The sequence below is a fragment of the Homo sapiens genome, chromosome 9 (genome assembly GCF_000001405.40).
Source record: "Homo sapiens chromosome 9, GRCh38.p14 Primary Assembly".
Taxonomy (NCBI): domain Eukaryota; kingdom Metazoa; phylum Chordata; class Mammalia; order Primates; family Hominidae; genus Homo; species Homo sapiens.
Window position 1 is genome coordinate 93,969,635 of NC_000009.12, and position 11,157 is coordinate 93,980,791.

Sequence of the window (11,157 nt, forward strand, 5' to 3'; positions counted from 1 at the left end):
ATATGACTATGCTAAAGACCCTATTTCTTTTTTTTCTTTTTCTTTTCTTTTTTTTTAGATGGAGTCTTGCTCTGTCACCCAGACTGGGTACAGTGGCACGATCTCGGCTCACTACAAACTCCACCTCCTGGGTTCAAGAGATTCTCCTACCTCAGCCTCCCGAGTAGCTGGGACTACAGGTGCGTGCCAGCATGCCCAGCTAATTTTTTGTATTTGTAGTAGAGATGGGGTTTCACTGTGTTAGCCAGGATGGTCTCGACCTCCTGACCTCATGATCTGCCCGCCTCTGCCTCCCAAAGTGCTGGGATTACAGGAGTGAGCCACCGCACCCAGCCGACCCTACTTCTAATAGTATGGAGAACGCTAATAGTCCTTGGCACGAACTGTTTAGAGAATTAGGCAAAATAAATGCATTTGACACTCCTGATTCTTCATTCATGAGAGGCAAGGAGTTTAGTGACTCTATACATAATACCTTTGACCATATGTGGAGAACCAAGGAACATAAGGAAGCTGGTTGGTTGCTCCTAAGTTCAGAGGACAAAGTGATGAAAGAAAATGATGAATTCAGGGATTCTGTCTCCCGGGTTCAGAAGCAGATACTGAGCCTCAAATCTGCTAAGATTGCCCTGAGTAAGAGTCTTATCTCTTGTAGAGAAAGAGCTGAAATTGTGGAAAAACAGATATAAACTCTTATCTTGCAAGTGGCTGACCAGCAATGAAAGACGCATGTACAGCCTCACCAGGTGTCTCCTGTTAAAGTGAGGGCATTGATTGGAAAAGAATGGGATCCTGCAACTTGGAATGGGGACATGTGGGAGGACCCTGATGAAGCTGGGGACACTGAGTTTGTAAACTCTGATGAAACTTTTTTGCCAGAAGAAATAGCTTCCCCATCCCCAGTAGTGGCAACATCCCCTCCCCAACTCATGCTGCCATCAGCCTTTCCACCTTTGTCTGAGGAGATAAACCCTGTACAGCCTGCAGCAACAGTGATGGCCTCCCCTGAGGCAGTTTCCAGGCAAGATAATGTTGATTCTCCTCGGGAGCCACCCCCAACATCCCTGTTTGCTTCCAGACCTATAACTAGACTAAAGTCCTGGCAGGCCCCTAGAGGTGAGATTTAGAGTGTGACCCATGAGGAGGTATGCTACACTCAAAAAGAACTGCTTGGTTTTCTAATTTATACAAACAGAAATCTGGAGAACAGGCATGGGGATGGGTATTAAGGGTGTGGGATAATAGTGGGAAGAACACAGAGTTGGATCAGGCTGAATTTGCTGATTTGGGCCCACTAAGTAGGGACTCGGTGTATTAGTCTGTTTTCATGCTGCTGATAAAGACATACACAAAACTGGGAACAAAAAGAGGTCTAATTGAACTTACAGTTCCACATGGCTAGGAAAGCCTCAGAATCATAGTGGGCAGTAGAAGGCATTTCTTACGTGGCAGCAGCAAAAGAAAAATGAGGAAGAAGCAAAAGCAGAAACCTCTGATAAACCCATCAGATTTCATGAGACTTATTCACTAACATGAGAATAGCACAGGAAAGACTGGCCCCCATGATTCAATTACCTCCTACTGGGTCCCTCCCACAACACATGGGAATTTTGGGAGATAAACCTCAAGTTGAGATTTGGGTAGGGGCACAGCCAAACCATATCACTCCACCCCGATCCCTCCCAAATCTCATGTCCTCACATTCCAAAACCATCCATGCCTTCCCAACAGTCCCCCAAAGTCTTAACTCATTTCAGCATTAACTCAAAAGTCCACAGTCCAACATCTCATCTGAGACAAAACAAGTCCCTTCCACCTATGAGCCTGTGAAATCAAAAGCAAGCTAGTTACTTCCTAGATACAATGGGGGTACAGGTATTGGGTAAATACAGCCATTCCAAATGGGAAAAATTGGCCAAAACAAAGGGGCTACAGGGCCCATGCAAGTCCAAAATCCAGTGGGGCAGTCAAATTTTAAAGCTCCAAAATGATCTCCTTTGACTCCAGGCCTCACATCCAGGTCACGCTGATGCAAGAGGTGGGATCCCATGGTCTTGGGCAGCTCCGCCCCTGTGGCTTTGCAGGGTACAGTCTCCCTCCTGGCTGCTTTCATGGGCAGGCATTGAGTGTCTGCGGCTTTTCCAGATGCACAGGGCAGTGAATCTACCATTCTGGGGTCTGGAGGACGGTGGCCCTCTTCTCATAGCTCCACTAGGCAGTGCACCAGTAGGGACTCTGTGTGGGGACTCCAACTCCACATTTCCCTTCCACACTGCCCTAGCAGAGGTTCTCCATGAGGGCTCCACCCCTGCAGCAAACTTTTGCCTGGGCATCCACATGTTTCTATACATCTTCTAGAATCTAGGTGGAGGTTCCCAAACCTCAATTCTTGACTTTTGTGCACCTGCAGGCTCAACACTGCCAAGGAACATAATGGAAGCTGCCAAGGCTTAGGGCTTCCATCCTCTGAACCCACAGCCTGGGCTGTACGTTGGCTCCTTTCAACAACTACTGGAGCAGCTGGGACACAGGACACCAAGTCCCTAGGTTGCACACAGCATGGGGACCCTGGACCCATCCACAAAACCACTTTTTTATCCTGGGCCTCCACACCTGTGATGGGAGGGGCTGCCATGAAGTTCTCTGATATGGCCTGGAGACATTTTCCCCATGGTCTTGGGAATTAACATTAGGCTCCTTGCTGCTTATGCAAATTTCTGCAGCGAGCTTGAATTTCTCCCCCAGAAAATGGATTTTTCTTTTCTATCACATAGTCAGGCTGCAAATTTTCCAAACTTTTATGCTCTGCTTCCCTTATAAAACTGAATGCCTTTAACAACACCCAAGTCACCTCTTGAATGCTTTGCTGCTTAGAAATTTCTTCCACCAGGTACCCTAAATCATCTCTCTCAAGTTCAAAGTTCCACAAATCTCTAGGACAGGGGCAAAATGCCACCAGTCTCTTTGCTAAAACATAACAAGAGTCACCTTTGCTCCAGTTCCCAACAAGTTCCTCATCTCCATATGAGACCACCTCAGCCTGGATTTTATTGTCCATATCGCTAACATCATTTTAGGCAAAGCCATTCAACAAGTCTCTAGGAAGTTCCAGAGTTTCCCACATTTTCCTGTCTTCTTCTGAGCCCTCCAAACTGTTCCAATCTCTGCCTATTACCCAGTTCCAAAGTCGCTTCCACATTTTTGGGTATCATTTCAGCAACACCCTGCTTCTGGTACCAATTTACTGTATTAGTCTGTTTTCACTCTGCTGGTAAAGACATACATGAAACTGGGAACAAAAAGAGGTTTAATTGAACTTACAGTTCCACATGGCTGGGGAGGCCTCAGAATCATGGCAGAAGGTGGAAGGCACTTCTTACATGGCAGCAGCAAGAGAAAAATGAGGAAGAAGCAAAAGCGGAAACCCCTGATAAACCCATCAGATCTTGTGAGACTTATTCACTATCATGAGAATAGCATGGGAAAGACCAGGCCCCATGATTCAATTACCTCCCACCGGGTCCCTCCCACAACACATGGGAATTCTTAGAGATAAAATTCAAGTTGAGATTAGCGTGGGGGCACAGCCAAACCATATCACTCTGCATTTAATGTTGCAGCTTGGGGAGTTAAAAAAGGTTCTAATAGTTTATTTGCTTGGTTAGCTGAAATATGGATTAAAAGATGGCCCACTGTGAGTGAGCTAGAAATGCCTGATCTCCCTTGGTTTAATGTAGAGGAAGGGATCCAAAGGCTTAGGGAGGTTGAGATGATGGACTGGATTAGTCACGTTAGACCTAATCATCCCAGCTATGAGGGTCCAGAAGATATACACTTGACTGATGCCTTGCAAAATAGATTTGTGAGGCCAGCACCTGCACCTTTGAAGAGCCCTTTAATTGCTCTTTTCTGTATGTCAGATCTAACAGTGGGAAACACAGTCACTCAACTACAAAATTTAAATACAGTGGGAATAATTGGATCCCAAGGTGGCAGGGGCCAAGTGGCGGCACTCAACCGTCAAAGGCAAGGTGGGCATAGCTACTGTAATGGACAGAAGCAGCAAAGCAGCAATCACAATAGTCTGAATCATGTAGAGCTCTGGTATTGGCTAATTAATCATGGTGTTTTTAGAGGTGAAATTGATAGAAAGCCTACTGAATTCCTACTTTATGTAAGCAGAAAACTTCTTGATCAAATTGACAAAAGACTAATTTGAATTATAAAAACAGAGAATCATGGCCCCTCAATCAATTCCCAGATTTGAGCCAGTTTACAGACCCAGAACCCCCTGAATGAAGGGGAGGCCAGGTCCCCTTGAGGAAGGACCCCACTACATTGCCAACAATTTATGCTGTGAATCTTTCTCCCATCCTTCCCCAGGGAGACCTCTGGCCTTTTACCATTGCATTGGGGAAAGGGAAATTATCAGACATTTCAGGGACTACTGGACATTGGCTCTTAGCTGATGTTGATTCCAGGGAACCCAAAATATCACTGTGGTCCTCCAGTTAAAGTAAAGGCTTATGGAGGTCAGGTAATTAATGGAGTTTTAGCTCAGGTCTGACTTACAGTGGGTTCAGTGGGTTCCCAGGCTTATCCTGTGGTCATTTTTCCAGTGCCAGTATGCATAATTGGCAAACTAAGACATACTTAGCAGCTGGCAGAACCCCAACATTGGCTCCAGTTCTGAATCTTGAACTCAGTGGTGGTTACACAAATCTGCACGTGATAAAATGGCATAGAACAACACACAGTACCAAAGCCAACCTCCTGCTTTCAATTTCGATTAACAATAGCTAATTAACCCAGCATGCCCCAATGGGGCCACGGGGGGGGGGGGGGGGGGTGAAAGGTATATGGACCTCTCTCTGTCACCTGTGCAACTTCCTGTCAATCTATATTCAAAACAAAAAGATTTTTTAAAGGGACAAGAATAATTCCCCAAAACAAACAGTGAAACAGTGCCAATTACAGATGTAATAGTTTTGCTCATGAGTACAAATTGTTTTGTACATGAAATATTTTACTGAATTTGAAATTTTGAAATTGAAATGTATAATTGTTTTATTTATTTTTATTTATTTATTTTTTTGAGACACAATCTTGCTCTGTCACCCAGGCTGGAGTGCAGTGGTGGTGATCTCGGCTCACTGCAACCTCCGCCTCCCAGGTTCAAACGATTCTCCTGCCTCAGCCTCCCGAGTAGCTGGAATTACAAGTGCCCATCACCATGCCTGGCTAATTTTTATATTTTTAATAGAGACGGTGTTTTGCCATGTTGGTCAGGCTGGTCTTGAACTCCAGACCTCAGGTGATCTGCCTGCCTTGGCCTCCCAAAGTGCTGGGATTACAGGCATGAGCCACTGAGCTCAGCCATTTCTTTTAAAACTCTGCTGCTTGTTTAATTTTTATTTGTTACTAGACCATAACAGACCAATATATGGGTTGAAGGCTTTCCCCCTTTAGAGAGTACATGATTGTACATTGAAAGGACTAATCCATTAGGCTTTTTTCTATTCCTTCTCTAATAGTATTATTTATTTAATTATTTTACTGGCATGAAGTTCAGTAAAAGTTTACCATTCCAGTTCCTTGCTTGCCATTATTATGATTATGATTGTTACTCATGTCATTTCATAATTATTATTAAAAAATTTTGCAGTGCACTGAAGGGAGGATGGGATAGAGGTCCACGTGGACTGTCAGATCTGCCAGATGCTACTGTGGGTGCAATTGTCCGTGTTAACCAGAATGATCTTCCCTGGCACCAGGGTCTGACCCTGGCTCTGCCCAGTGCCCCGCCCCTGCGCCTCTGGACCTGAGTGGTAAAAATGCAGAGGCCCACACGATCTTGAGTCATGAGGAAAAACTCACTCTGCATTTGGTTCTTAGAAGGAAACACATGTTGGAAAGCTTTATCCCCCCAAAAAGAAAACTCAACAGTCTTCATGCCGACAGGGGTAACTTTAGATGATTTGGGACACAAAACCCATGGATGCCTGGGGAGAAGCCACGTGGGCCAGAAACCATCAGGCCTGGGCCAGTGGGAGCCCCAGGAGCAGCCCTGGGTGCAAAAGCTGGTGCTCAGCGCACAGTGTTCCCTTGGTGGGCTCAGGCTCCTTGTGTGTGAATGGTGCCTGGCGATGCCTGCCTCCACTGCCACGATGAGCTCAGTCCCCATGGCCCTGTGTCATCATTGCCACAGATACACATTACTGGTCTCCTCCCACACAAGGAAAATTCAGGGCCACACAAGCCCTAGAGCCCCGAATGCCACTTTGCAGCTTTGTGGCATTAGCAAAGCTGCTTCACGGCGGAACCTCGGTTTCCCTGTCTGTGACAGGAAGGCTGGATTCAAGAGTTCTCAAGGCCCCTGCCAGCCCTGGCATTATTGGGTGAGTCACCAGCAGCACCAGCCACATTCCCTGTAAGCTCTGGGTGCTCTGACAGCCCTGGGAAGGCACCAGTAGAGATCCCCTGGCTTCCTTTTAACTGGGAATCTTATCATCCTAGGATCGATGTCCTCTAGCAAAGACCTTACTCCAGGCCCAGAATCACTGCTTTGTTCCTCAGCCTGTTATCATATTTCCTGGGCAGTGTCTTTCCCCTCCTGTGTCTGATCCTACATCCCCTGCCTAGTCAGCAGTTTATTTCTAATGGCTAGAGTATTGCTACGTGCTTTAACAAACCCGATAGCAGTTTATGTTTCATTTATGTGCTTGTCTGATATGGATGCTGCTGATCTGTGCAGGGTTTTCACCATGCAGTGACTTAGGAATTCAGGCTGGTTCCATCTTGCAGTAAGTACCTCCATCCTCTGGGCCCTCAGAGTCCTCTATGTCTAGGAGGTAGGAGGCTGTGATGAGCTGAATAGTATTCCCCCAAAATTCATGACAAAGCCCTAAGTCCAAGCACCTCAGAATGAGACTATATTTGGAGATAGGGCCTTTACAGGGTTGAATAGGATAATATGAGGCCTTTAGGGCAGGCCCCAGTGCAAAATGGCCAGTGTCCTTATCAGAAGAGGAGATGAGGACACTTGCACAGAGGGATGACCATGTGAGGACACAGGGAGAAGATACCATCTGCAAGTCAATGAGAGAGGCCATAGGAGAAACCAACCCTGCCAACACTTCGACCTTAGGCTCTGTCCCCCAGAACTGTGAGACAATAAATGTCTGTTGTTTAAGCTCCCCACCACTGCCAATCTGTGATACTTGTTATGGTGGCCCTAGGAAACTGGTACAGAGGGGAGAGAAAGGATGGAAAGAGCACCTCACTGCAAAAGCAAGATGCATTACTTCTCCCATTCCATTATCCATTTGTAGCCATGCAGCCAAACGTGGATGTGAAGGGGCTGGGCAGCTGCCGCCCAGCAACCACCTCCTGCTGGGGCAGGGGAAGCCCAGTGCTGGTGGACAGCTGGCCGTCCCTACCACTGGACTTCATTCCAGGCTGAGGGGATCTCAGGTGTAACCTGCACCAGGTGAGTCAGGGGAAGACAGGAGCTGAGAATGTTCCCATCATTTCCTGTCTGCTTCTCCATGCAAATCGAGCTGCTCTGACTCACTTGTTCCAGTTGTAGAGAGGTGAGAACCATCAGAAAAAGCTAGAATAGGTGACATTCTCCAAGGAACCCAGCCCCGTTTCTTCTACAAGTCAGTGGCATGAAAAAGGTGTGCCCTGTTTTAGACTGAAAGGCCATAGAGAAATAATAGCTAAACACAATGCATGGTCCCTAACTGGAGACTGGCTTTAACAAATGCAACGAGGGAAGCTGAGCTTGAATCACTACACTGGATCTCCTTCTTCTCCACCAGGCCCACTCTCCTCCTTCCTTCTGCTCTGCGCCCTGGAGCTGACCTCTATAAAATACATCATCAGGCTCCCAGCTGAACAAATTGTATTTTTCCAAATATTCATTTCTCCTCACACTCAGAATTTACAACCCTACCTATTGCCATGAGAAAGGGTCTTACCTCTGGTCCTGCTGACAGCTGGCTGGGTTGTGTGTGTTGCTTTGGCCAGTGGGATATGAGTGTAATTGATGGGCACCACTTCCTAACAGAAGCTTTAAGACCCGAGGTGTGGGTCTTGGTGTGTCCCAGACAAGAGGACTGCCCAATCCACAGTCAACATGGAAGCAGGGAAAGAATGAACAGATGCTGCTGGAAGCCACTGAGATGTTGGCACCATTGTTCAACCTTAGTTAGCAGAAGCCTTGTTTCCAGTGGGTTGGCTGATGGGTGCACCTGGAGGAGGGCAGCCCCTGGGAGACGGAGAGGATGGGGGTTTATTTCTCTTGCACTCGCAGGTGCTCAGGTGGATTTTGTGCCTCCACCAAAAGCCACTGCTCCAGGCAGGCGGCTGGCAGGCTCCATCCAGCTGCTTCTCTGAATTCCAGCCAACTTTTTCTCTTGCCCTGCAAGCCCATAGCTGGTGACAACTATTTCCCTAATTGTCCATCCTTGTCAATTGTCCTTTACTCTTCTCTCCCTGATGGCCTGGCTCCAGCACACCACCTGCTTCCTGCCAGGCCTTAACCAAAAGAACCAGGTAGGAGTGCTCTTCAGGTTTTACTGCTAATTTTTTAAGCTGTGATAATCGGGGTTATGTTTAAAAGTGAAGGGTTTCAATGTCCATAATTAATTTAAGATGGCTCTGCAAAACAGAAAAAGAGAAAAAGCAAACTATTAACAATTATTAAACCTAGGTAGAGATGACTGTTCATGGTACTATTCTTTTCACTTTTCTCTGTTTGAAAATTTGCATAATAAAAGGCAAAAAGAAAAATTGTGGGTGGCAGGGGTCCCAGTCCTACCATCGAGCAAGCTGAAGTTCCTAGCTGTCATGCTCCTTCCTTCCCTCCTCTGAACTTTTGTCCAGACTATTCCCTGGGCCAGGGCAATGCCCATCCTGCATGCCTTCGCCTGGAAAATTCCTCCTCATCCTTCTAGTATGTACTCACCTTAAGCTGCTCCCATGCTCCCTGCCCCAACCCAGACAGGGGGAACCCCATGCCCCAGAGCATTCAGCTCTATCCCAGAGCTTCTCTGCCCCACATGTGCCAAACAGTGCATGATGCAAGCCTGAGCAATGTTGCTTTAAGTCTTCTCCAGGTCCTGATATTTACAACATTGTTCCTGACAGCACCCTCCCAGCTCACCCTCTCCTGGTCCTGAGCCCATTGTCACCACCTCTCTTCCTTACTCTGCCCTGAGGGACATGCTTCATTGGGAAGCCATTCATTCATTCGTGCTCTCATGAGCTCATCTGCAGTCACCAGGACACACAAGTGAGACAGGGTGGTGCTGCTTCCCTGGGGTACTGTCAGCTGAAAAGACACAAATCAACCAGCCACACAGATGATCACCCGGCTTTGGCCACAGTGAGTTTCACCAAGGGATATCACTTTGTGCAGCAGTGAGGCCATCTCAGGCTAGGAGAAGGCCTTCTCGTAAGAACCCTTAGGATGCTGGCTGGATATATGGATTCCCAAATCTTCCACTCAGAACATCCAGTGGGGGACCCAGGGAGTCTGCATTTTCCACAAGTAGCTAGAGTGACATTTATAGTCAGCCAAGTCTGGAAAGCACTGGCCTCCAGGAATAAGGAGGAATATTTCATTCGTGCAGCACTAGGGCAAGGGCTCAAGTGGACCCCAGGCCCTCCCCACTGTGCACACAGATAACAGCACTCTGGAGGCCATCTGGTGATGGTACGGAGGGCAAGTGGGTGCAGCAGGTACAAGGGCTCCCCCAATGCCAGGCCCAATGCAAAGTGGTGTGACAGTCAGTGGAACTCAGCCCCATTAGGTGCAGTCCCTTGGCCGAGGCCCCCAGCTCATTGGCATCAGATCTAGAACAAGGGGTGACCACTGACCAAGTGCTTCCTCGGGATCCCCAGTGACCTGCAGGCTGCTCCTCCTGTTAAGCCCCCTTACAACCCATGTGGCTGTCACCTCAAACTCCCTCCTGGCCCCCATACTCACTCTGCTGTCCCAGTCCACCCTTCCCTGAACTCCTGCAGCCTCCACAACAGCCCACTTACTCTCGTCTCCACTCTGCTCCACATCCCATTTCCCTAAATCCTGGTCTGCATCCTGTTGCTCCAAGTTTAAAAGCCTCTTCTAGCTTCCAAGAGCATTCTCTCCTACTGGCCACAGGCCTAGCTGCCTCCCCTGCGGCACCCCTCCTCTTGTCCCCAAGCTCCGGCCATGCAGGCCCCTTCTTGCCCTCTAGTCAGCAGCTCTTTCCCTCCCTGAGAATGTGCATCTGCTCTCCCCTCCTGCCTGCATTTCTCCCTTGGCAGGGCCTCCCTATCTCAGCTGGAGTGTGAGTTCCTCAGGGCAGGCTTTCTAGACCCCAGTCCAAAGGGCAGGTTTTCTGTCCCATGTATATTCCTTCACAGCATGCACCACAGTCTGCATGTGCACGTTTCCTTGAGCGTTACTCATTTAATGTGCATCCTCCCATTTGACCAAAACCTCATGGAGGCAGGGACTGCACTTGGCTGGCTGTGGGGTCTGGCACAGGAGGTGCCCCAAGGGACTGTGAACGTAGATGAGTGATGTGAGATTTAGGGAGGGGAGACCTATTATCAAGGCTCTGTGGTGCTTGATATGGGCTGAATCGTAATCTGCTCTGAAGATAGGCTGATGTCTTAATTCCTAGTAGCTGTGAATATGACCTTATTTGGAAATAGGGTCTTACAGATGTAATCAAGTTAAGATGAGGACATTCGGGTGGGCTCTAATCCAATATGAATGGTATCCTTATCAGAAAGAAAAGTGCCACATAAGGAGAGACACACGGGGGGAACGCCATGTGACAATGGAGTTATGAAGCTGCAAGCCAGGTCATGCCCAGGAGTGCCAGCAGCCACCAGGAGCTAAGGAGAAAGAGTGGGATCCATCCTGCCCTGGACCCTGCAGAAGGGGCACAGCCCTGCTGGTGCTTTCATTTCAGACTTCTGGCCTCCAGAGTTGTAAAAGAATAAACTCACTCTGTGGTTCTAAGCTGCCCAGTTTGTGGTAGATCATTACAGCAGCCACCGGAAACTAATACGTGATTATATCATTAATAAGTGGTAGTGTCAAACTCAGACTAGTTTGGCTATAAAATTTCTGCAATGCTACTTTGTTGTTTTGGTGAT

At 47.8% G+C, this 11,157-nt stretch overlaps 1 long non-coding RNA gene across 2 annotated transcripts in view, besides 1 other annotated feature; it reads left to right on the plus strand.

The window, feature by feature from the left end:
• Window positions 1-11,020, plus strand: part of LOC124902216 (uncharacterized) — a 25,129-nt gene extending 14,109 nt beyond the window's left edge. Inside the window, exons 2-3 of one of the 2 annotated variants that reach the window (XR_007061672.1) lie at window positions 59-7,489; window positions 10,785-11,020. This is a non-coding gene — a long non-coding RNA (uncharacterized LOC124902216). Of the gene's footprint in view, window positions 1-58 lie in introns of both variants that reach the window. The other variant, XR_007061671.1, reaches the window with a different exon arrangement.
• Window positions 9,893-10,392: an enhancer, noted in NCBI's record as "H3K4me1 hESC enhancer chr9:96741809-96742308 (GRCh37/hg19 assembly coordinates)". NCBI's record gives its function as "activates a minimal SCP1, AML or CMV promoter by ChIP-STARR-seq in naive H9 embryonic stem cells {active_cell/tissue: H9 hESC(naive)}" and the evidence as "EXISTENCE:reporter gene assay evidence [ECO:0000049][PMID:30033119]".
• Window positions 11,021-11,157: the final 137 nt, after the last annotated feature.